At 45.9% G+C, this 27130-nt stretch overlaps 1 pseudogene across 1 annotated transcript; it reads right to left on the bottom strand.

Moving 5' to 3' along the window:
• CES1P2 (carboxylesterase 1 pseudogene 2) lies at positions 1-25287 on the bottom strand (annotated as a pseudogene). The gene is made up of 14 exons (NR_033740.1): positions 25256-25287; positions 22910-22981; positions 21951-22119; positions 19747-19880; positions 19284-19380; positions 18861-18950; positions 16702-16806; positions 13820-13858; positions 9669-9809; positions 7695-7775; positions 7285-7432; positions 3323-3454; positions 579-651; positions 1-282 (listed from the first exon to the last, which is right to left on the bottom strand). The product of NR_033740.1 is annotated as a carboxylesterase 1 pseudogene 2 (transcript).
• Positions 25288-27130: the final 1843 nt, after the last annotated feature.

The following is a 27130-nucleotide window of genomic DNA, read 5'->3' as shown; positions in this document are numbered from 1 at the left end:
CCCAGCCATGGTAAGATGCCTTCTGAACCTGCAATCCCTTTGGCAAAAGACCCCAGTCTTTGCTCCTCCAGGTTCCTGAGGCTGGATGGACCTTCCGTTCACAGCGCAATGTGTTCTATCTGGGGTGGCTTCTCCACTGCCTTCTTGGCGAAGAGTTTGGTCCAGAAAGCTACTTCCTTGTCCTTCAGCTTCTGGGCTGCCTGGGTGTTAGCACCAATCTGCAGGTACCCTTCCTCCTGGTTGTACTCTGGCCAGTGCGGCAGCCCTTCTCCATTGGGGTTTCTGGAAACAAAATCAAATAGAATTGCCCCAAAGCTGCTGTGTGTCCCCAACAATCTTCAGAGATGTGTGAGGACGCCCAAGTTATCTCCGTCAAGAGGCTTGTATATCTCCAGAGACGGGGAGTTCACTATCTCCAGGGGCGGCCTCTCCATTTGTAGAGAGCTCTCATTGTCAGAGTGCTATGGTCACAGGGTCAGAAGTTTGATCGCTAGAACCTTAGAAGCTGCCCCTTCCCAATAGGCATGCCCCGCCCCCCACCCTCACCAGCTGTGCTGTGTCTTTGCCAAGAGCCTCACCCATTGCGAGCAAAGTTGGCCCAGAATTTCATCACCATCTTGCTAAGTCTGATCTCCTCTTCTGAGGCACCCTCTGTGGGGAAGAAGAAAAAAAGCCTTTGTTACTCAAAGTGTGGTCCGCGGACCTGCATTGTCAACTTCACGTGCAAACCTGCTAGAAACATAGTCTTGGCGCATGCTCCACACCCACTGAGCTGAGGTCTGCACATTTAGAAGATCCTGGTGGATTTGTGTGTACTTTACCTTTAAGCATGGCTGACCTAGGGCTCAGCAATGGGCATGCATCATTCCATGTGCTTGCCCCACCTCCCAGGGTTGCTCTCTCTTGCACACACCCACAATTCACATTCTGAAATATAACAGAACTCAAGCCTCCTAAGGGTGCATAATTGGGACATGCCCAGTGGCGATGGTGCGTCCTGAGCAGCCATGGGGTGAGTCCCATGTGATCTGTAACAGCTGAGAGTTAAGGCTTAGAAGACATCATGAAAGGATTTTTAAAAATATTGTATAATGTAAACTAAAAATAAAATCCTAACACCCCCAACTCACTGAACAGACCCTCTCTGGGCTAAGGGGACCCCAGAAAAACCCTAAACTGAGTTCCTGCCTGGAAACAGACAGGAGGTCAGACACGCCTCATCATACTCCCCCTTTTTTGTGGTTTAGACACCACCGGACGAGTATCAGCAATAAAATAAAGGTGATCATTCTGACAGAACACACTCCTTGTGGCAATAAGACACCAAATTAAAAAAAGATCGAAGGCCATGCCGGGCAAGGGTTCAGGCCTGCATCTCTACCCTTAAAGAATCCACTCTGTTCTCCCTGCTGCAAGGTGCTTCTTTTTGTCTACAGCTAAACCAGTACTGGCCTGGAGTTAAGCAAAATGAAAACAATTAAAATGGCTGCAGCTTGGATACTCGGAAGAACAGAACACTGCCCACCAGCCTTAACTACGGCTTTGATTGCATAAGAGACTGATTTCAGTTATTTTCTCCAGATAAGAATATCACCAGCCATGGACTGGACCTGGCCGGTGTACAGAGGCTGCTCACTTGCTGGGCTTTGTGTCCTGAGAAGACCCTTGGATTTATAAGCCCTAATTGTAATACATTTAAATATTAGGTCTCCACCACCAGGTGAACATGGGCAATGTTACATGCATGTTTGTTTAATACACATGTGTCAGGACTGTCTTCATGAATATCCATTGCTCCCCCTGTAACGTGTTGAACATGTATGTTTAGCCAATCTGTTCATATAAAGCTTCTACCCAACCCCTCCTCGTTCGATGAGCCTGTTTCTGGGCTTGGCCAGAGGCACCTTCCCAGCTTGAGGGATAGCAACTTTGCTGACTATAAACCACATCAAAAATAAAGTCTCCTCTCCCATTCCAAATTCATACATCCTGTGATTTCTAAATTAACAATTATTAATTATATTAAATTTAAAGGTTTATGAGGTTTTGTTAGAGACATAAAGGCAGAAACACAAACCGACACACATTAGACCTGACTCAGGGTTAACACCAATTCTAATCTCACCCTCACTCATATTCTCAGCACTTCTGGGAGAGGGAAATTGGTTGGTGGTTTCTCAACCTAGAGCAGGGCCCTGCATGTGTCCCTCCGCCTATCTTGTTGATGACACGGCCCAGGATTCTGAGTGTCGGTGGCAGAGGGCACATGATATACATCCTCCCTCATGTGTGTTAGAGCAGGAGGAAACTGGGGGACAAGCCAATGACATTCAATCCTATCACAGTGAATCCTGCTGACTATAAACCATAATTCATAATCCTGTGATTTCTAAACTAACAATTATTAAATGTATTAAATGTAAAGGTTTATGAGTTTTTGTTAGAGACAGACAGAAAGACAAACCGACACACATTAGACCTGACTCAGGGTTAACACCAACTCTAATCTCACCCTCACTCACATTCTCAGCGCTCCTGGGAGAGGGAAATTGATTGGTGGCTTCTCAACCTAGAGCACCCCTGCATGTGTCCCACCACCTGTCTTGTTGATGACATAGCCCAGGATTCTGAGTGTCTGTGGCAGAGGGTACATGGATGCACATCCTCCCTAATGTGTATTAGAGCAGGAAGAAGCTGGGGGACAACCCAATGACATTCAACCCTGTCATAGTGAATCCTGCAGGAGACCCCCCAAACACTTGTCTTGTTGATGTCACAGAACAGGATTCTGAACGCCTGTGCAGAGGGCACATGAATACACATCCTCCCTCAGGTATGTTAGAGCGGGAGGAGGTGGGGGGACAACCCGATGACATTCAACTCTGTCATACTGAATCCTGCAGAAGACACCCTCCCGCCTGTCTTGTTGATGTCACAGGCCAGGATTCTGAGTTTCTGTGCAGAGGGTACATGGATACACATCCCCCGTCATGTGTATTAGAGCAGGAGGAAGCTGGGGGACAACCTAATGACATTCAACCCTGTATAGTGAATCCTTCAGAAGACTCCCCCACACACACCCGTCTTGTTGATGTCACAGAGCAGGATTCTGAGTGGCTGTGCAAAGGGCACATGAATACACATCCCGCCTCACATATGTTAGAGTGGGAGGAAGCTGGGGGACAACCCAGTGACATTCAACCCTGTTATAGAGAATCAGTAAACTAAGACCAGGAGAGAAGAAACTTGCTGAAAGCCACCACACCAAGACAGGAACCCAGATCTCCTAACTCCAAGCTCACGGAGAGCAAGGAGCCATTACCTTTTAAAGATGGGGCCCCAAGGACGGAGAAGAGCTCATCCCCGTGGTCTCCTATCACCGTCTTGGGTTTCATGTCTGATGAGAAGCTTGGACGGTACTGAAACTCATACATGTAGGTGGGTGCTCCAGCATCTGAGAAGACAAGGATTCATGCACAGTTCATGTTGCCAGACACACACCTGGAGGCTACCAAGGTCTCCAACTCTGCAGGAAACCTCTGGCTGTCAGCACAGTAGAGAAACAGAGTCACAGGAAAGCTCAGCGACATGCTCCGGGCTGCATAGCTGGTTGAGGTGGAACTGGAATTAGAGCCAGATATTTGTTCAATGAACAAATGTTTAATGAATGAATGTGGAAACCCTGGGTCAATTCATTCAAAATAACTGCCAGTGCAGGGACACTGACTCTGCCTCGTAAACCCCTTTGCCTGCTGGTACATTCTCACACAAGACAATCTCTCTACATCTGGTTACACTGGATGTAATTCATTGATAACAGACTTCGTTCACTTGGACGCCATCTCCACTCTGACAGGTGTCTTCTGTTCTCCCTCATTTTGAGCACTTCCAGTGTTTTTCTCACCCATCCTGAGAAGACTGAAGCAAATCCAAGTTGCTTGTCTGAACATGAGGCTACTTAAATACAAACATATGCAGAGAGGGAACAATCTGCCTCTTGTGTCTCAGGAATCTGCGGCACTCACTGCTTTATATCTCACTGTCTCCATGTGTCTTGCTGCCTGCCTGGCCTGGGAGTGTTAGGGTGTTAAGGCAGTAAAGTCATGGCAGAGCAAAGAAGGGGCTGAGCAAGGGTGACCTTGCCTCTCCCCTGCCCTCTCTCCTTCTGCCTGCCCTCCTCTCCCACCAACAAAGCTCTCCTGTTCCAGCCCGAAGAAGATGCCAGTTTCCCAATGATTGGCTCATTGGAGCCACAAATCACTGCCCCTTCTGGGCTACATCATGGGCCACCTGGTCCTGTGCCTCAGCACTTTGAATTTTCCACCTCCTATATAATTTAAAAATCATTTTGAAAAACCATTTTAAAAATCAAATTTAAAACATCACTGGTAACTCTACCACAGAGAACGCTTCTTTTTTATTTTAACATATCTCTCTTTTATGTATATAAACTTGGGATGATATTATATATGTTATTTTGTAATATAGTATCATCACTTTTTGAAAACAATTTTGTTGTAGAGACAGGATCTCACTATGTTGCCCAGGCTGATCTTGAAATCCTAGGCTCTCACAATCCTCCCACTTCAGTCTCCCAAAGGGCTGAGAGTATAGGTATGAGCCACCACCTCCAGCCATCATTTCTTAACATTCTTAAATATTCAGCCACAAAAGGATTTAACAACAGGAGCTCACGCATCCCTAACCTCACGCCCCACCCGCACATGTCATTTCAATGTAAGAATGAAGAATAATCTATTCACTCATCTTTGTCAGCCTCCTGCACTGCACCCTTGGCTCAGCAGGAAGCGCACTTGGGAAGATGCCATCCTTCTGTGGCTCTGTAATCCACCTGTTAAATGGCTGCTTCAAGGTCAAGCAAAACTTGCTAAAAGGGGGGTTTGACCTTGCCTTTGCCATTCAAACATTTTCCAAAGGAACTCAGAGCCAACTATAGAGGAAAGAGCTTTTGTGAATGATAGAAATTATTATAGGCAGCATGCTGCCCAAAATGTACTTTGTCAAACCTTTTTGGCTAAAGTGATTGATATTCATAGAATTCCTACAGTCACAACACAAGTCTTCAGAGGAAAGTAGGGCACAGTTTTGGGCAATGACAAATAGGCACAAGAAGAGAAGCAGAGACAATGAAAGACATGTCATGAAAGACATGCAAAAGAATACAGGGTGATGTGCTTCTTTTTGGTGGGGCAAATTGGCAGCATTAACTTTTAACCTTGGTATCCCAAATGAGAAAGTAAATTAAGAAATCCACGTTCTTATGCACGGGAATGCAAATTTGCATTATTTGCCAAGAGTTCAAAAATATTTCTTTGGTCCAGCCTAGTTATTCACTTCTAAAAAGAATCCCAAGAAAATTATTAGACATGTGGTTAGAGACTTATAAACATTAGGCTGAACTCAGTGTTATTGTAGTATCAGAATGTGAGCAGCCAGGCTAAACATCTAATAGGATAGGAATATTAAAGTCTATTTAACACAGCCATTTCATGGAATAAGGAATGTTTTGATGAGTTTATATGAATATTGAGAAAATCCTCACAACATAGTGTTCTATGAACAAAAGCGAAATATAAAATTGATTTTTAAAGTATATAGGACATGAAAAATCTTTAGAAGAAAGTACAAAAAAATTTATACCACTTGCCTCCAGGTGGGGGAATTAGGAGTGATATGTAGTTTCTTCTTTACGTGTTTCCATATTTTTGAAACTTTCTTCATATTAACTTTAACATATTAACTTTATGTTCAGAAATGTTGTTTTTATCAAAAAGAGTGAGACACAACAATAAGTGAAAGTTGATAAGATCGGTGTAGTCCTGGCAAACAACAACAACAACAACAACAAAAAACTCTGAACTCAAAGTTATGGGAAATCAGATGAAAAACAGAGGTTCAGTATTGCTCAAACCATTGGAAGATGGAGATGGGAACACTATATATAGATCAGATGCAGAACATGGGGCAAAGCCAAGTTTAAGACAGAAATGATTCAACTCCAGTGGTCCTGGTTATAGGGTTTTATCAGGACTTTGTGAAGAAGTGAGAGTTATGAGCACCTGCCCCTTCCTGTGCAAAGGTGTGTCTGGGCACCTGCGACATCAGCTTTAGCTATAGCTTTAGCTTTAGCTTATGAAGTTCCAAATTTAAAAACCCTTCCAGCATGGTTAGAGAGAGGACATTTCCTGGCTTGCAGACTAGGCGAATGAGAGCTGGAAGAAAAAGAGGAGTCCTGTGAGCCTCCTCTAGTTGGCACCCAGGAGAAGACACTTCTCTAGAGGTGAGCCCACGCATCCCTAACCTCATGCCCCACCCACACAGCCTTGGGTCAGTGGTAGAAGGTCCTGCATAGACCCTGTCCTGGCACTGTGCTTGCATGTTCCTGCACACACCGAGATAGACAAAAGCCAGCCTCAGACATTGCCATTCTTCCGACCACCTCCCCCACACCCACCATAGCTCTTACTTTTGGCCTTCTTGGTCCTGGACAATCCTCTGGATCCTGTGCAGGACTCCCATTGTTCTTCCAGCTCCAATGCTTAACAAGCTTGTTTGCAGCCAACTTGGACCTTAAAAACCTTCCAAGACTCATCTTTCAATATTTGTCCTACAGCAGCCCTATGTCCCACGATAACTCCAGGCATGGAGCCCTTGCAGCAGATGCTGTCAGTGTCTCACCCATATCCCCTCTTCCTGGGCATGCCAGCCTGACTTCTACCTCCAGCATCTGCAGCTCCCGGCCTGAGGCCTTTGTCTGGTCACAAGAGACTACTCTGCCCTTGTGTGCAGCAGGTCAAAGTCACAGGGAATAAACAACTCCTTGCAAGAGCCTTCAAACAATGACAAGTGGGAGCTGGTGGGTAAATACCCCAGCTCCCTTGGTGCTCAGATGGGATGCCCCTGAGTGCTGTATTCTCAGTGTTTCCTTGAGTTTCCCAGCTCCAGTTGTCCACAGAGGATACTCCCTTGTCAAGGCACCTTGGATTGGATTCCATCTCTTTCCTCTCTCACTTCCCCACCGCCCTACTGCTGATATCTGGGATCACCACCTTAAAAAAACCGCTTGCCTCTGGTTTTTTTTTTCACAGGCTGCTACTGGCATAAACCAAAATAAGACAGCACCTCATCCCATGCCATATGGAATCAGCCTTTGAGGCCTGACCCTCGGCTGTTTCCACATCTGTCTATGCTGGGAGGTAGGTGAGTCAGATACAGAAGCTGGTGGGGTCCATATCCCTCCCCTGTTCGACCTCTAGGACTCACCTCTGTGGTTCCGGGCCACAGTCACAGATGGGACACCGAACAGTACGTCCCCCATTAAGTCCAGGAACAGGTCTTTCTTCTTGACAGGGTCATCTGTTCCTCCTAAGTACTTCTCAATGGCTTCTGGAATCAATTCCTTAGGAATGCGCTAAAATAGATCAATAAAGTGACAACCACCCCCTGGTGAGCGATGTAGCTTCTCCAGCCCACCAGGAAGGGCTGCCTCAATGGTGAATCCCACAAGCCCTGTGCAACTCCCCGCTAGGGTGGAAAGTGAAGTGGGAAAGGTGGAAAGATGGGAGAAACCCTGAGGCCCCAGTCTTCATTCGGCCATTTAATTGCTCTATAATTTGGGCAATCCTTGTCGCTCTGTGGGTCCTAGCCAATTCCCGTGATTCCTAGACTCTTACAACAAAGGGATAGGACTTCCAGAAGAGTGACATGGCTGTCTTCTGGTCCAGTTTCCCTTCGGAGAGTAGATAGCTCATCAACTGTTAAAAAAAAAAAAAAAGTTAAGCATTTATGAATCATTGGGAATTAACGAGAAGAAACAAACTGACGAACCAACCAAATCAATGCAGACTGAAAGTCCTCCAATATTTTGGGCTTTTAAAGGCATGGGTTTTTACTGAAATGGGCAAAATCAATGAATCAAATGGGCTTATATCCAGAAACTCAAGCATTGCAAAGATTACAAAAAAAAAAAAAAATGTGGAGAAGCTGTGGCAGTGTTTTGCAGTGTGTGTGTGTGTGTGTGTGTGTGTTTTGTGTGTGTGTCAGGCTGGGATACCTACAGTGGCCAGTGACATGGCGAGGGAAGGTGTCTGCCAAGCCAGTGTGGAATAGAGGGTTCTGGGGAAGAGGATGCAGACCTCCCTAGTACCCCCACCTGTCACAGATGACACTGAAAGCCTTAGAGCCTGCCTTCATGGCTTTGGTCTTTGGTATAACCTCTGAAATCCTTCTGAGGGGCAAACTTCATATCTCTTCACACAAAACAACTCTGCCCAAACCTCTGCACTCAGAGACTCGACCAAACTCTAGCATCGCTTCTAGCAGCTTAAGGCTGTGTCCCTAGAATGACTCCAGTATCCTTAACATGCTTGCCTGGGAACGCTCAACTCTGCCAGAACAATTTACTCTGCTCCAGCCAAAACCTGGAGAGAAGCAGACAGGCCCCTGAACCCAACTAGAGCAGTTAGTTTAGAAGCCTGCAATGATGAACACTTTCTCTGCCCTTTGGGATGGAATTTACCACCCAACCCCATTTCCTTGAGGGCCTTAGAGCCTTCTCTTTGCAATGCAAACATTCAGGGAGCTGACTCCTGATCTTCCCAGTCCCTGTGGAAAGAGTAGAGCCTGACTTCAGTGGGTTCTTCCTGCAGTCTAATGCATGGCTTCCTGTCCTGACGATAAGAGGAGTTTGTTTCTGCCCCAGGTGAGCCAGGATGAAGACATCCAGGCGGTCTAGTCACATGGACCAAGTCCCTCTCCACAGCACACAGTGCCTATCCTTTTGCACACTCAGCCTTTAAAACAGTGCCAGGAGTTAGTTTTGGGGATTTGAGTCCAATCCATACTGGACTCTTCTTTCCTCTGTGCAGTTGTGTTACTGAATAAATTCTGTCCTACTGCTTTAATCATGGTCAGCTTTGTGTGTCCTCGACTGGAAGGAGAACGCTTTTTCAATTTTAGAAGTCAATCTTTCTTTCTTCCACTTTTTATTCCCAATTTTTATTTTAGGGTTGGGGGTACAGGTGCAGGTTTGTTACATGGGTAAATTGTGTCTCTGGAGTTTGCTGTATGGATTATTTTGTCACCAGGTATTGAGCACAGCACCCGATTAGGTAACTTGTCCATCCTCACCCTCCTCTGACCGTCATCCCTCAAGTAGACCCTGGTGTCTACTGTTCCCTAGAAGTCAATGGGAAATCAAAAGAAGCCACTTTTTTGGATCTTTTCAATGAGGTGATGAAGAGCATGAGTGATTTATGGGGGAACTATGCATACCCAGCCCAAAGTGGGAAGCCAGGAAGCCCCCGACTGCCTCTCCGGGCTCCTCAACTCCTTTCCCCTCCTAGGCCCCCTCAGTTTTCCCATCTGCACAGTTATTTTATCTACTGGTCCTCCCAGCACAGACACTTCAGGATTCTTCAATAGGAAGACAATCAGAGAGTCTGGGGAGAGGGGATCCCAGGGCCCTGATATCCCGGTGACAACTGTGCCCTCCTGGAGAAGGTTTCCATGGAAATGTTAACTCCTGCTGAAGGGAACAGCTGCCCAGGACTCAGAGCAGTGCTTGGAGAGGGAAGCACTCCTGGGATCAGAGGTGGGAGGGCTGATGGGGGTGGGTGAGTCCCTCCAAGAGGCCTGCGCCTTCTCACTGTTGGAAGAAACCAGCCAAATTCCTTCCTGTTAAATCCGACAATGTAGGGGACAGTGTGGAACTTCCTTTCAGCTTGAAGCTCCTCGGGTGTTTTTGGCAGCACCACTCCATCAATCACCGTGGGTGTGTGGGGGTAACTCTGGGGGAGAGAGCAACACAGCGCCTGTGATTCCCACCCTAGGTCACAACCGTGTCCCCAACTCTGCCTGTCTGAGGGTGAGACCAGCACCCTAGACCGGCGTGACTTTGGGCCATGGGTATGCACACACAGGGTCCTAACTAAGGAGGATAGATGTGTGACTCAGGGGCAGAACTTCAGGCAGAGGCTGACACTGGTCAGGTGACGAGGAGAGGAAGAAATCTTCACTCAGACTGAAATACATGTATTATCTATATAAAATTACATGTCTATATACTTCAATTTGAAGTACATGCATTTCCCTCTCTGTGTCCACAGTTGTTTTCGGTAGTCCCAGCAGTTGCTTCCGACAAAGCTCCCACGAGTGCTGAATTAGAGAATACAGGGTCATCACTCAAAGGGGAAATACTGGGTTAGGTTCTTGCAAACCTCTGGCCACAACATTTTCATCAACCTTCTTTTATGTGTGGGTTTCTGTTGAAAGACACTTTATATAATACATAAGTCTTACAAAGAGTTAATTATAAGTAGGATTACTTTTAATAAAACACCAGCTGAAAAGCCCTTCCCATTTTTTGACCCTGGGTAAGATGAGTGTAAATTTCCTGTTTTCAACCTCACAACAGTGCTGTCCATCCTGCTTTTTAAAAATTCCTTCATCATCTCATGAATCTCCCAATGCAGTTTCTTTTCCATCTTTCCACAGCTGCATCACACACAGTAGGTGTTACTTTAGCACTTCCCATCACAGCCTCATGTATGAACTGGCCAATTTCCTCCTCCTTTTCCTGTATGTGCAGTTTTGTGGATTTTTCAACAACGAACGCATGGCCAGCAGCACTGCCCAAGCTTATCTCACACAGGCGCCTTCCCGGTAAGGCACAGCACAGCCTGCTTAGCTCAGGAACACTAGACAGCAGCGCTACTCTTGCGGGCAACTCTGAACAGTGACATCACCAGAAAAAGCACAAAAATGCAGAACACATGGCACTAAATTGACCACGAAGAGGACACTTGTTAGCTTGAGAGATGAAACAAGAAGACAGAGGTTGCCTTGCCGGATCTCAGATGGAACGTGCCCATCATGCAAATCCAGATTCCCCTACTCTGTACCTGCCTGTGTGTGACCATGAAAGTGCCACCAGTATCGATTTGGGGGTTATAAGGACATTTTAGGAAGCAGGTGAATTTATAAACGCAGAATCCATGATTAATGAGGAGAGATTGTGCTATCTATCTCTATTTAAATGAGAGCTGTTATTGATCCATGGGTGGCTTTGAGGAGGTACGGAACCCTCATCACTCAAGGAGCCTAGACTAGGACGTGATTCCCTATTAGAGAGAAAATCATGAATAAAAGAATCAGTGATGAACTCACAGTATATTGATCCATGTCCTAATTTTAGGTTTTACCTTTGATGAATAATTTTTGTATGGTCACAGATTAGCGAGAGCCTGATTCACGCATTGCCATCAGGGCAGCTGGTTCTGGGTACAGTTAAAACAGAGTATGGACTTTGAAACCAGATTAACTGGATCTGAAGCCTGGCTCTGCTACTTACTGGCTGGGAGTTTCACCTGTTTGGGCCTCAGTTTTCTCATCTAAGAGGTGAGTTATTGTGAGGAATTAAATGGCTGAACACATGCAAAATACTTAGCGCAGCACCTGGTGTCTGGAAGGGCTGAATAACTGTTAGGTATTACTTGTTAGCAGGGTTGCTGTGGGTCCCTCTCATAGACCCCAGTCCTCTGTGCCATCTTCCCAGCTCCATGCCCTATGGGCTGTATTTCCCTCCCAGATATCAGATGCAACTGGACAATTCCTAGCTTTTTTGAGACCCTATGGCTTCCAGGACCTTTGTTCTGCTCTACAAAAGCCAATGAATGACGAGCTAGTTCGGGCTGCCTGGGGGAAATGTTCTGTGAAGTGGACCAGAACCAGCTGGACAAGGTGCAGATCCTAATCCAATATGGCTGACAATACGGAACAGGATTGGGGTGCAAGTCCGGCCTCCTTGAGAGGCTGTGCAGTTCAGGCAGGGCTGCCGTGGGAGGCCAGCAAGAGGAGCAGCTTCTCTGCAAGGAAGATGCAGGGCAGGCTACGTGGAGGAGGTGCCGCCTGCCTGCAGTGGGCTCTGGGCAGTGACTGGTATTGACAAGTGAGGAAAGGAGTGAGAATTTCTAAAAAACGGGAACCACGTGAGCAAAGGGACATAGATATCACTATGCAGGGTAAATTCCAGAAACACTCAGGAGTTCTGGGCTTGGAAAATTATCGTGGGGCAGGTTTTAGAGGGAGGGACAGGTGCAGAGCCTACCTTCTGTATAGTCTGGCACATAGTGCGCACGCAGGTGTGTTTTGAAGGACTAACTCCATGGAGGGAAGGGAATTTGTCTCATAAGGAAGGTCAGGCTTTTAAGAAGTGGGGGTGACGCACTCTAACTCTGTTAAGGAAGGCCAATCTGGCTGCACCATGAGACACGGAATTGGGTAGAGGATATGAAGTAGAAAAGGATAAAAGTTGAGGAGAGAGACAGGATTGCCCTGGTTGGGTGGCAGCCAAGTGGGAAGACTGCCATCAGCAACAATGACAAGTGATTGTTGTCCACTTAGAGTTTTCAAGTGGCTGCCCTGTGTGGGTATGACTTTGCTTCTGCCCGAAAACTCAGGACATCCTCCACTCCTCTCCCTTTCTTACCCCTAGCATCCTGTCCATCAGCGAATCCTCTCAGCTATTCCTTCAAAGATATCCAGACTCCAACCATTCCTCCCATCCCCACTACTACAGCCTTAAGCAGCCAGGAGCCATTGCCTGGATTATGGCAATGCAGTGGCCCGCCAGCTGGTCAGCTGCATCCACTCTGCCCGTTTCCTACAGTCTATTTGATCACCAGGGGCAGAGACCTTTGTGAAATCTAAGATCATGTGACTCCTCTGTTCAAAACCTCCAAAGGCTTCCCATCTTGCTCAGAATCCAAATGCAACTACTTTAAATGATCCCTCTCCCACTTCCCATTACCTCTTCAGCCTCAAGCCAGTCTGTCCCCACACTCCATCCTCTCCAGCTGGACCTGCCACTTCCATCGGGGTCTTTGCAGTGGCTGTTCCCTCTGCCTGGAATAGGCTTCCCCAGGTTTCCTGACAGCTGGCTTCCTGCCTCCTCCAGAGCTTGGCTCAAATGCCACCTTCTTATTGAGCCATTCCCTGATCCTGCTACTTAAATTGAAACCACCTGCAAACTCTACCCCTAATGCTGCACACCATCCAACAGAATACATACTAGATTTGCTTTTTTATTGCACTCTCCCTACACTGTAATGGAAGGTCCCAAGAGGGCAGGGAGTCTTTCTTGTTTTACTCCTATATCACCAGCTCCTAAACAAGTCCTGGCATATAGGAAGTGTTTATTAAGTCTTTGCTGGATGAATCTCATGTACTCCGCCCATGACCATTTAGGAGAGTGCTGTGACCTCCAGGAAGGCAGCAGAGAGGACAGGATTGTAAGATTCGTCAGAGGTGATGTCACCAGAAACTGTCAACCCATTGGGAGGTGGGGGTGGTGAGGAGATCAGGAGGATATTGTTGGAGACTCCTGTGTGCTGGGAGGAGTTGAGTGTCCTTGGACTGAGATTCAGGCTTCCCCTCTCCGTGGCTAATCATCCCTGTTATCTCTGCCTCCCGATAGTGGAATGTTCTGGTTCAACCTCCTCCCATAGTGCCATTTTGGGGAGCAGAAAATGTAAAAAAGCAGGGGAGTGGGCAGAGCCCAGGGCATACAGAGGTGATGCCTGGGAGCACTGGACTGGGAGTCAGGAAAATGGGTTCCAGGCCAGCCACTAGTCTTCCTGGCTGTGTTACCCAGGTGAGTGACTGCCCCTCTCTGGGCCTCAGCATCAAGCACACAGGAGTTCCTATAATTACCCGAGAGAGGATTCTTTCACTTATAGTTAATTGGAGCTTAAAGGTGCTAAGACTCAAAACCCGCAATCGAGAAACAAAATGTCCTTACCTCTCTGGGGTCTCCATGTAAGTCTAGAGTTCAGAAATTCTGTGAAGACAAAAGCAGAGGATGTGGGTAAGAGGCTTCCCAGGAGAACACTGAGCTGGGTGAGTGGGGCAGCAGAGGTGTCAGGTTCTCCCTCCTGGTGCCGAGCTGGCTGGGCCCAGAGGAAGTGGGCCGGACTCTGGCTCTGCTGGGCCTGAGCACAGGGTGAAGGCATAGAACGAAAGAGTGGGCACTGGCACGGGAAGGATGGGCCAGGAACTCTGAGCCAGCATTGCTACAGCTCTGGATAGGACACCTGCTTTTGGAGCCTTCCCTGTCCCCCATCCCTCTCCCCTTCCTGTTCCCCAGGGAAGAATACCCCCATTCTTTTTCAGGGATCTCTTTCTTTCCCTATCACTCCATGAATTCAGGCATCTATATGTGACCTGGGGCGCTCCATTTCCCTGATTGCGGGTATTAGTTCAGGGATAGGTATACATCCATGTCAATCCAATAGAGTTTACCCCAGAACTTTTGTAGGAATTGTTTGGACAGAGGGTTTCGAAGCAGATAGGATATAACTCTAGAGTGCTGTTGTCTTTAACCTTCCCAGAAGATGTATCTGCTGAAGAGTGAAGTCAACACAGAGTTGTCCAAAGCTGAAGGATAGAGAATGGTAGATTCTCAATAACATTCAATAGGCATCTGGATCCAGCCATGCCTGAAACTGTCAACTCCTGAGTTTTTCAGTTAACACAAGGATGTTATTCCAACACATTCCTTTTTCCATTCAAGGCACCTTGGGGGAGTTTTCTCATCTCCCATTACACAGCTCTGACTCATACAACTCACTGAAACTTACCCTACCCCATGCTTCTCTTTGGTGTGTGTTCATGAAGATTGCAGTGATTGTATCGCTGCACTGTAGCTCACGTGTCTGGCCTGTTCGCAGGAAGTAACCAGTGCAGGTCTCTCCATTAAGGATTGTAGTCCCACTAGCCAGGAGTGTCTGTGTGTGTGTGTGTGTGTTTGTGTGTGTGTTTGTGTGTGTGTTTGTGTGTGTCTCTGTCTGTGTCTGTGTGTTTCTCTGTGTGTGTGTCTGTGTGTGTGTTTGTGTGTGTCTCTGTGTGTCTGTGTGTGTGTTTCTCTGTGTGTGTGTGTCTATGTGTGTGTGTTTCTCTGTGTGTCTGCATGTGTGTGTACTGGAGGCAGTGGGTAATCATGGAGGCGCTCCCACAAGATCTCAGAAAATCTCAGAAGGATGTCCCAGGATCTTAGGGCTGGATTTTCCCAAAGTTACCAAGTTTTTCCTTTTAAGCTGGGTCCTCTGATGCCACATGCAGAATTGCTGGAATGTTTGCCTCCTTCCAGGCATTAGAAAGCAGTTGTGTTTTAATTCCTTGAACACTTTGGTCATTTAGAGCTTGAACCAAGACCTAAGCTCCAAGACCACATTGGACTCAACCCATGTAAACACAAGCAGAGTCCAGTGGTAGCAGCCGGACCTGGGACCCAGGAGTAGCCTCAGGTCCAAGGAGGGATTCCAGAGATCAGGCTACTCATGAGCTTGGAATTCACACCCTTCTCCCTCAAAGGGAATAGTTCCCAATGGCCCTGGGTGCTGTGTCATCTGGGTGTTTGTCCTGCTGGGCTTCCCTGTGTTGAGAGACTGCCACAGCTGTCCGTCAATCATAAAGGTCCCCAACTCCTAATATGTGAGGACAGCAGGAATGGCAGAAGATATTCTAGACCCACAGGTGTGGGTTCTGGGTCCTAACTGGAACTGTGTTGCCTCTGACTAACTGGAACTGTGACATGAGCCAATTACAAAATTTCTCTGTCTCTGTTACCTCTATTAAAATGGGCACAATGATCTCAATGCTGAATTTCTCAAGAAAGATAAGGTGGAGTCAGGGTTAAGGGCATGAATTCCCGAATTCCGCTGTCTGGTCTCAAATTCGGCTCGTCCACCTTCTCTGTGAAGCACCCCTGATGACTACAATGAATGCTTCCCCTCTGTGCTGCCACCATACTCAACCTGAAAAGTATATGTGAGCAGGGACTATGTCCACTTCATGTCTGTTTCACTACCTCTAACACCCACCCCTACATACTTAGCATGGATGGATGGGTGGATAAATGGAGGGATGGATGGCTTCACCAATAGCTGGAGTACAGTTGAATTGGATGGATACATGAATAGTGGGTGAAAACTAACAGATAGGTGATAATTGGATTGTTGGTTTTGGAGGAATGGGGTGACAGAGTTAAGATATATGGTGGCTGGATGATGCATGAACAGTGGATAGATTGAAAATAGAAAAATAAAAAGTTATGAACAGGTTGATATTAGATTGATAAAAATATATCAATGAATGGGATGAATTAGTGAACACATAGATGCATAAGAAGATCATAGTAGATGGATTAATGATTGAGTGGACGAACGACTATCCTAGAATGACAACTGAGTCAGAGTCTCAGAAAATCTAGAAAACTGGACCACTACCAGGTCTAATACAGACAGTTTCTAAGTCAACCAAGATAACTTGTGACATCTTTCTGAAAATCTTTGAGCTTAATAACTCCATCCCCAAAATTCAGAATGATGGTGTCCCCTGGGAATATGTAATGTTTAGTTTCTCAAAAATACATCTGAAAACAAGAATGGCAAAATATTAAAATTTGGTCAAATAGTAAATTTGGTCAGTTTTTTTATCATGTTATTTTTGGACTTTGTTTTTACATTTGTGTCATTTTTCAATAAAAAAAAGGACAAATTAGATTCCCCATTCAGATACTGAGACTCCTGAGACTTGAGAAATTGCCCCAGGTAACTGTCCCAGGGCAAGAGGACAGCTGAAATGAAGAAGTCTGGGTTTGGGCTATGGGAACAGGCAACCTACCATTTTCAATGTCGTCTCCAAGAGCTCCTCTTCCATCTTCTGCCGCAGACAGTGAGCCATGACAGCTGAGTTGGTGGTTTCACACCCAACAGTGTTAGCAATTTGCTGCAAAGATCACAAGCAACAACAGAGTTCAAGAGCGAAGTCCCTTCCCTCCATCAATATGGAAAAAGATGTTCTATCCTAACTAAGCCTGACTTGTACAAGTGGCAGGGGGCAGCAGAAGAAACTCTAGACCCACATGTGTGGGTTCTGGATTCCGCAGAGCATTGCCTCTATTACTAATCACAATTGTAGTATGAGCCAATTACCCAGTCTCTTATCTCTGCTACCTTATCTCTATTGAAATGGACATAATCATCTCAAGCTGAATGTGTCAAGAAAGGTGAGGTGGAGCTGGGGTTGAGATGATGGAATCTTGAATTTACTTGTCTGCTTCCAAATCCTGGCTGCTCCACTTACCAGCCATTAGGCCACAGGCAGTCCACCTGATTTGTTTGGGCCTTGGTTTCTCCACTCATGGATGGTAATAATGACTGCACCTACCTCATGAGTTAATACATGTGGGAGAGTGCCATGTCTTCCACACAATAAAGATGTGCAGAATTGCAGGAGGCCTAGATAAGATGATTCACACAGGACCACTTCAGAAAGTAGCAAATGTGCTTTAATGGTGAGTTCTAAAGAAAAACAGGGTCTCGTCCCTTGCAAGACATAGATGGGGTTTCTCAGCTGAGTGAGGCATCTGTGGCACAGCCAGGAGTTTCCACCTGCACATTTGTGTACTAGAGTCCCAAGCAGTAATCAAACATGACTCTTTAGGCCACAGGTCAGCAATGTGCCCATCAAAGACCAAATAGTAAATATTTGAGGCTTTGTGGGCCATGTGGTCTCTGCTGCAACTTCAAGACTGCTGTTGGCATGAAACACAGCCAGAGACACAAGGTAAATGAATGGGTGTCACTGTGTTCGAGGAAAACTTCCTTTATGGACAATGAAATTTGAATTTCATATGATTAAAAAAAGTCATCCTTAGCTCAAGGGCCATGCAGGCATAGATCCAGATTTGGCCATGGGCGATGGTCTCTGCACCTTTGTCCTGAGTCAAGCCACAAAGTAACAATAATTAATACACCAAGAACCTCTTTTCATCTTTAAAAAAATGTAAAAAATATAAAAATTTAAAAAGCCCTCCCGAGGGACAGGGTCCCTTCTGCCTGACCTAGGCATTGGGGTCAGTTTGCCCAGCATACTCTGGTTTCCTACTTTTCTAAGAGTTCAGGGACATCGAAGCAAAGACGGGACAGTGAGCCTCTCTCTTAAGTGACCTGGAATTGGGGTGGAGAGCTGCTAATGTAAAAAACACTCATTTTTCACAACAGGAAAGACAGCCTGACTACTTTCTGGAACCAAGGAGAGTCCTTAAGCTCAGGGGCAGATAGGGTGCTCATGCAGATTGGAAGCAAAGTGCAGCCAGAAAGAAGGGCACAGAGGGAGAGCAGGCAGGCTCCACAGTCGGGGAGTCAGGGCAAGCGCACATGCCCCCAGAGCCCCGTGCAGGATCTCGGACAGAATCAATGCCCAGAGTGTTTCTCAAATAAATAAACAGGGACAGGGAGAAGTAGAGGGTGAGAGAGAGAGAGAAAGACAGACAGACAGAGAGAAAGAGACAGAGAGAGAACAAGAGTAACAGAGTCTAGGATTCCCATCATTTTGTAATTTCTGCTTCCTGTTTTTGCACAAAGCCCATCCTCCCAGATCTCTATTTCCTTGAAAAATAAATTCTCCTTTTAAAGAGAAGATTTTGGGACAAGGTCTTGCTTTGTTCCCAAGCTGGAGTGCAGTGGTGCAAACACAGCTCACTGCAGCATAGACCTCCTGGGCTCAGGTGATCCTCCCACTTCAGCCTCCCATGTAGATGGGCCCACAGTCTTGCACCACCATGCCCAGCTTAATTTTTTGCTTTTTGTAGAGACAGGATCTCACTTTGTTGCCCTGGCTGGTCTCTAACTCCTGGGCTCAAGCAAGGCTTCCGCCTCTACCTCCCAATCGCTTCAGTGATTCTAGGAGAACATCAGCTAGAACCCATGGCAAGAATAACCTCTGAGAATTCAGAAGCACAGAGCCAAGGGGTTGGGGGCATCCAGCGGGAGACCTACCTCAGCCAGGGGCTTGACGTCACCCTTCTCCACCAGAGCAGGAGTGAGGGCCACATCACTCTCAGAAATTACAGGCATGAGCCACCACACCTAGCCAATCGTCCGTCTTGACTTAAATCTGGTCACTGGGAAACTGTTGCTTATAACCAATGAATTCTAAAAACATTCTCAAAAATTCTAAAAATTCTTGGCATCCCCATTTTCTCTCCTCCAATGTACCAGCCCTTTAAGTTTGAATGCTTTCCCCAAACAAGCTCTCAAAGCTACCAAATTCCTCCACGCCATGGGGACTTCTGTCCCCATGGAGACCTGATGAGGAGGACTCCATCTTTGCTTCCCACACTTGCCAGATTTCAAGCAGAAAATGGGGTGAGTGGGTCCCAACACTCCTCCAGGAAGGGGTCAGATGCTCCCACACCCCACCTTCTGCAGCGCCCATTCCTTCACCCACAATATGCCCTGAACTCCCTGTATGACTCTGCCCCTTCCCTCCTTTCCATGAGAAGTCAGATGTGTCAACCTTCAACAGCTGGGCTGCATGCTAGCTGCCATGACAGAGAAATGCAATGTGTGGGAGCAGCACAGATGAAAAGGAGATGAGTCTTTCAGTGGAGCTAACTGGGGGCTGGGTCTTGCAGGATGAAGAGGAATTCTTTAGGTAGACTAAGCATTCCAGGCAGAGGGAACACCACATACAAAAGCTCAGAGGCTAGTGGACTAGTGTGGCTGGGGAGTGAGAGGGTAGGTAGTGTCCAATTATGAAGGTGCTTGTCTGCTACAATGAGGAACCCAGTTAAGGTCTCCTGAGGGCTGACATGACCAGAGCTGGTCCTAGCAGCCTCATGTTGGGGGCCAAAGGTGCAGTGAGGAGAGTCTAATTTCTTACCTGAAGAATCCCCAGATGCCCAGGCAGTGCTGAATGGTCACCACCACCACGTTTTCATGGGCTGCGAGTACCCGCCCATCAGAGGTTGATGCGGTGCCCACCATCAGCCCCCCTCTGTGGATCCACACCATCACCTGGGCAGGGGGGAAGCAACATACTCGTTACAGGACACAAGGCCAGGGAGCACTCAGAGGGCATCTTGTTTGGTGACCTGCCTGTTGGTCACAACTGAGGGAGGTTGTTACCCAAATTTCACAAGTGCCCAGCAAGGTTGCAAAAGGCAGTCTCTCTCCTCCATAATTCTCCCAACTGGGGCCCAAGCCACCACCCCACTGCACATACCCTGGCTGCCCCTTCCTTTCTACCCAGTCTCCAGTGCCTCCTCCTCGCAAGGCTCTTCACGCTGAGAACATCATCATGGGCATAGCAAACGCTAAGGATTCATGTTCTCCACCTCACTCCCATCACCCTCAAGCCTGGACTGTTCAAGCACTCCGCGTACCCATGGGGCAGCCCTTGTATCTCAGCTTCATCTCAGTTAACTCTTTCATGGTGAAGTAAACTTCTCTGTGCATGAATGATTGTCTCGAGAAGCACACATGCCTGTGATGGTGTCTCTTCCTCAAATGCCTCCTTTATGCCTCTGCATCCCCAAATCCTATCCACCCTGCAGAGCCCAGCCTAAAACCCACCCTCTTCAGGATGCCTTCAATCAATGGACTAACACTGTCTGAGAACTTACTATGTGCCAGGGACTCTGCTAATACCCGAGGATGAGAGTAGGTACAATTCCTAACTCAAGGTTCTTGCATTTTAAAAGTCCACATAGTGGGGAAGAAGTGAGAGTGGCTAAAATAATAGTATTGTAATAATATTATTCATGAAATATAAAAGAACTCATAACATAAACTATGTACGAAGTGCTGTTCTAAGCACGTGTAGTTCTAGAACCTGTGGCCATTCCTGGAGGTTTTCCTGCCTTCAGGTTCCCAGAGCTCCTGTTTCTCCCACACCTCTAATCCCTGCCTGCCTCCTGTGGAGGGATTGAGTGTGCATTCATCTTTGTGTGAAGACTGAGCCCGAGTGCTGACCTGCAATAACATGCTGAAAGGAGGATATGCCTCTACCCCACAAAAGGCAAGATCCTTGAAGGCAGGGGCAGTGTGGAGTGCGTTCATGTTCCTCCTTTCCGTGAAGCCCCAGGTCTAACTGTGTATATGAGGCCCTGAGTACACAATAGAAGAATGAATGAATTAATGAGTAAACCTTTCTCCCACTTCCTGTGTCTCACGAAGCACATGTAGGGCCAACTTCTAGTCCCATGTTCGCAGACCTGCTCCGCCACTCCTAGGCACCATGCTACGGTGCCCCTGGGAGACTGACTGGACCTGACACCCCTTCCTCTTTCACCTTGGGGTGGCCTTCTTTGCCAGCAGACACTCCCAACTCTGCAGCTGGCAGCCAGCCCCATCTCCTGCCGTTTGTTTATTTGGCAAATGCTGACACATTGGGTCATCACCCTTTGCCAACACAATTAGGGAGGGAAATTAGGTACAAAAAAATCCCAGATATTTGGCCAAAGGCAAAAGGAAGAGCTTCTGGGATTGTCCCAGGCTCTGCCCCCAACACCCATACCCGGACAGTGAAAGTTACCCCAGATGGATGTTGGTGTGCTGGAGAAAGGCCACATACAATCTCAATGCCCTACTCTGTGTCAAAAGCACTAGTTTGAAGATCAGAAGACTTGAGCCAAAACTATCCTACTGGGTGACCTCCCCTTCCCTGTCTGGGCCTCGGTTTCTCTATCTGAAAAGGAAGAGTTGAGGTGTTGGCTTTTCTCTAAGTTCCTTCGACCGCTAACATTATTGAAAATCATGTCTTACCCACTCTGATACCAATCTGGGTATCAGATTTTTAATCTAGTAACTAAAGGTAATCATTCTCATCCTTCTATTATCATGAGGGAACTTGGAACAATTAAGATGTTCATTAAAGAGGCACAGCAAACTCCCCCAGAGTCCCTATGTCACGAGGGGAAACTGACGTGTGGAAAACCTGTGTTTCCTGTAGAGGCCCTGGGGTCCTGAAACAATCCTGGCCTGTGCAGCTCCCTCCCCAAGCTGCCTTCATCCCCTTCCGATCTACACTAGAATATCTGGGGTACTGGCACTGACACGCCTTGACCAGGGGATCCCACAACTTACCAGCAGCCTGTTTTTCTTGGTCAAGTCAGCAGGAGTGTAAATATTGAGGTAAAGACAGTCTTCAGAAAGCTTGAAAGGAATGTTCTCCTTTCGGTTGGTCAATAGTTCTGAGAGAAACTGCCCTACCTTGGGATCTTGGGTGCACCTGCGGAGGGGGAAAGAAGAACCCCTGAAGTTCAGCCAGATCTAAGCGAGGTGTCTTCTAGGGCAGCGCCTTGGACTGGGAGGTTTAAGCCTGAAAATGGACTTGATATTTACAGACTCACGACATTGTAGTGGGTAGGAGGCTATCAGGGGCTTCAGGTGGGGACGCTGGGACTCACTAAGGTCTCCTAAGACCAAGCAGAGTGAGAAGGGCTTCACAGCTCTTTTCTTCCCGGAAACTTTGGAACTCCCAGCATTGAGGAGGGGAGACCACCAATACACTGATCCTCCCTTGGAGGTGACATTTCCAACAATATCTTAGGGGTAAAATCTTTGTGGGACAACGTCAGAACTGTGCTCTAGTTTTGTCTCTCCCACACATTTACAGGGTGACCTTGGGTGAATTCCTTTCACATTCTGGGTCCCAATCTGCCAGGTCTATGTGAGAGGATTGATTTCTGCATGAGTCTTGCAGCCCTGACATGCCAAGATTCTACCATCTGCCTATCCCAGGCAAGTGCTGTTGGTTGCCCTGATGAAAGATCTCAAGGATACAACATAGATGAACATTGGTAATAGTTATTGCGTCCTCCCAGTGTTCCAGGCACTGTTTCAAGTACCCTTTATGTATTAACTCATTTAAGCCTCAGATTACTCTGATTACATAGGTTCCATTATTTCCATTTTACAAATGAGAAAACTGAAGCCCAGAGAGGTTAGAGAACCTGCCCAAGTTTACATAGCCAGGTAGATCCATGCCATGTGGTGCTTATACACAAGTATATTATAAGCAACAGTCCCAGACCTCAAAGTACCAGAAGGCAGGCCTCATGGCCCCCACTAGGTACATGAGGAAACTGAGGCACTCAGGCTCTGGGATGACACAGCTGTCAAGAATCAGAGCCAGCAAAGACAATTTCATGCTTTCCATCTTGGGAGGTTTTCCTGCAGATCACCAAGTACAAGTGGCATAACAATAATAATAATTATAATAATAATAATAATAAAAACAACATTCCAATGTGAAGAAAGGGAAAAAGAACTCAACTTCACTGGTCTTCAGTTAAATGCAAACTAAATAGGAAAATAATATTGCTATTATTATTATCATTTTGCCTATCCGATAACCAAAAACAATTTTAATAACCCCAAGCACAGCAAAAAATCTGATGAATGGAGATTTTCATCCTTCAATGGGAGAAGTGTAGTTGGAATATTTTGGCAAGGAATTTTAACAAAAGATATACACTTTTCGACTCAGAAATGTCATTTCTGGGAACTTATCCTAAAATAATTATGAATGGGCATAAAGGTTTCACTATAAAATATTCACCACAGTGCTCTCTATATTATCAAAAACTTCATATGTAACCTAATGACCCCAGATAAAAGCTTGGGGAAATTAATTGTGGTGCAATACCAAATGTGATGCAGCTGCTAATATCAGGCTATGCTATTTAATGGCATAGAATGATGCTCATGATATACTTAATGAGCAAAGCAAGCATCCAAATTATCTGAACTTAACATTCCATTTTAAAGGAAGAAAGTATAGCAACAGGCAGAAAAACTGGAATACAAACAAAATTTAAATCATAATACTTTACCTTTTTTGTAATAAGTATGCATTACATTTGCAGTCAGAAAATAAAAACAGTAAATATTATTTTTTAAAAAAGGAAAGAAAAGAAGGCAGCTAGAGGTGGGCTGCTGGAAACCCTCCAAATGCCTGGCTGCTGAGATGAATGGGGTCTTCTCTGATGCCTGTAGGGTCCTTTGTACCCTGGGGAGAGGTGGTGAGGCCAATTAGAACCTTTGGGCTTTTCTTCCCAGCTTGGCCAGGGTGAATGGACACACCTGCCATTTTTCTCCTCAGCATTAGGGAGCTGGGCACACCTGAGAGTTGAGCACTTGCCGACTGGACACCTCAGTACACTTGCCACTCACACACCTCCTGGCCCACTCCTCTCCCCTACTATGTCAAAATTCAAGACAGCGGAATTCATGGGATCCTTCCTTCTGATCTCCCTCATCTGCTTAACTGCTTCTTTGTTTCCAAGGCACTTATCCCGTTCTAACATATCACATGATCCATGGAGTAATTTGCATGTTCTTCTTATCTGTCTCCCCCTGCTAGAATGCACGCTCCGTGAATCTAGGGACCTTTGCTTTGTTCACTAATGGACCCCAAGGACCCAAGAACATGCCTGGCCCACAGTAGGTGCTCAATAAACATGTGTTAAATAATGGACTCCAGAATGCTGTGAGAGTTCTGGAATGTTCTTAAGGATCTACAATGATCTTAAGGATTCCAGAGCAAAGGATCAGCCCATCAGGGGACTGCCTTGACTCCTTCCTGCATCACTTTGAGGCGAACATCCCCATGGACACATGCCAAAGCCACCCCTGGCTTACATAGGAGGTTGGGTAGGACTTGGGAGAGTGGGCATATCTGGGGCCTTCAAATGAACTCTCCCAAGCTTCTCCACCTCCATCAGTTTGCTCAGCAGATATGTGGAAAACACATGTTAGAGCAGGCATTGGGCACAGCAAACACATGTCTTTCTGGGCCCCTCACTCAGCTTTGTCTCTGAACTATGGGATTGATCAGGTGTAGATTTTGTGGTGGAGAACACTGAACTGGGAGACAGAAGTCTGAATCCACTGGGTGACATTTGGGAATTCCTTGTGGAAAGACAGGGTGTGGCTCTGGGGGAGGGACCCTCTCACGCACCCTTCACCATGGCTCCACACTCTATGAATCCAGGATTCTATGACATTCTCCACTGCAGCCTGGGCATACGCAGTGTTTCTGGAACCTCAGTTAGTCTCATACTAATATCATGGTTTTTTGCCTTATCAGCGTATCATCTGTACTTCCATGAGCAGTTTTCTTTAAATGAAGTCACTCTTTTTACTTCAACATGCTCACTCAAAAAGGAGACTTTATACCATTGCCATAAATGCAAGACCTCTATAACCTGCCATAAATTAGAGGTATGCATGGAAAACGTGTGACTGCATTTTTTAAATTAAAATGATGGTAAAAATAAAAAAGTACATAAAGAAATGCCAGTAAAAACACTTCTAGTTTACAAAAGTGTATAACTGAAAAAAGTCACTCAATGGGAAAAGTGAACCATTGAAGGCCAGTTAGTTACATGAAAGCAGGGCCAGCCTTGATCACCGTCATGACCACCAGGTAGGTGACAAGGCAAGGGTACCTACCTTTGGCAAGGGTCATCGTCATCAAGGTCATTTCCTTCTGCTTCAGGGAACGTCTTCCTGTTAACATTCAGTTCAATGGGCAGAAATTGGATTATGTTTACACCTTCCCAGGCCCATGATGCTGCCCATGATGCTGTGTTATACTTAGGGGGTCAGACTCCCTGGGGTCAATCAGGTCCTAGGACTGACTGGTCAGAGTATCTGGAGGAAATTTTGGGCTCGTGGTGGGTCGTAGAGGAGAGAGCTGTACTCCCATGGGCATAACTAGTCCACCTCAATGGCTCAAACAACTGATGATTGGGCCATGTACATTCATCAGTCAATCACCCTGTGACTGCTGAGGAAGAATTATTAGTGAGACCAGGATAAACTATGGTAGCAATTAGGCCCAGAATTTCAATGGCTTATTTTTCATTTATGTAAAGAAGTAGAGTGTTGTTGTTCAGGTCAACAATGTGGTTGTCTTCCATGTGGTCACTCAGTGATCCAAATTAGAGTATCAGCAAACTTTTTCTATAAAGTGCCAGATAGTAAATATTTTGGACTTTGCAGGCCATGTTCTCTTTGGCAACTGCTGTGATAGTAAAGACAGCCATGGACGATACCTATCCAAATGGGCATGGCTGTGTTTCAATTGTTTCATTCTTCTGCATATGGCTGGCCAGTTATCCCAGCACCATTTACTGAATAGGGAGTCCTTTCCCCATTGCTTGTTTTTGTTGACCTTGTCGAAGATCAGATGGTTTTAGGTTTGTGGCTTTATTTCTGAGTTTTCTCTTCTGTTCCATTGGTCTATGTGTCCATTTTTGTACCAGTACCATGCTATTTTGGTTACTATAGCCTTATAGTATAGTCTGAAGTTGGGTAATGTGATGCCTCCGGCTTTGTTCTTTTTGCTTAGGATTGCTATGATGATTCTGGCTCTTTTGGTTGGATATGAATTTTAGAATTGTTTTTTCTAACTCTGTGAAGAATTGGTGCAGGTAGTTTGATGGAAATAGCATTGAATCTGTAAATTGCTTTAGGAAGCATGGCCATTTTAATGAAATTGATTTTTCCTATCCATGAGCATTGAATGTTTTTCCATTTATTTGTGTCATCTCTGATTTGTTTGAGCAGTTTTGTAGTTCTCCTTGCAGAGATCTTTCACTTCCTTGGTCAGCTGTATTCCTAGGTATTTCATTTATTTGTGGTTGTTGCAAATGGGATTGTGTTCTTGATTTGACTCTCAGCCTGAGTGTTATTGATGTATAGAAATGCTAGTAATTTTTGTACATTGACTTTGTATCCTGAAACCTTACTAAAATAATTTGTCAGTTCTAGTAGCCTTTTGGTGGATTCTTTAGGGTTCTCTAAGTATAGAATTATATTGTCAGTGAAGATAGTTTGACTTCTTCTTTTCCTGTTTAGATGCCTTTTATTTCTTTTTCTTGCCTGATTGCTCTAGTTAGGACTTCCAGGGCTATGTTTAATAGGAGTGGTGAGAGTTGGCATTTATGTCTTGTTCCATATCTCAAGGGGAATGCTTCCAGATTTGCCCATTCAGTATGATGTTGGCTGTGGGTTTGTCATAGATGGCTTTTATTGTTTTGAGATGTGCTCCTTTAATGCTGAGTCTGTTGAGGGTTTTTAACATGAAAGGATGTCAGATTTTATAAGAAATTCTTTCTTTGTCTATTGAGATGAACATATTGTTTTTGCTTTAAATTCTGTTTATGTGGTGAATCACATTTATTGATTTGTACTTGTTGAACCAATTATTGCATCTCAGGGATGAAGCCTACTTGATCATCGTTTATTAACATTTT

The sequence above is a fragment of the Homo sapiens genome, chromosome 16, assembly GCF_000001405.40.
Source record: "Homo sapiens chromosome 16, GRCh38.p14 Primary Assembly".
Lineage (NCBI taxonomy): Eukaryota > Metazoa > Chordata > Mammalia > Primates > Hominidae > Homo > Homo sapiens.
Note: the sequence above shows the minus strand (reverse complement) of the source record. Positions and strands in the feature narration are given on the sequence as shown.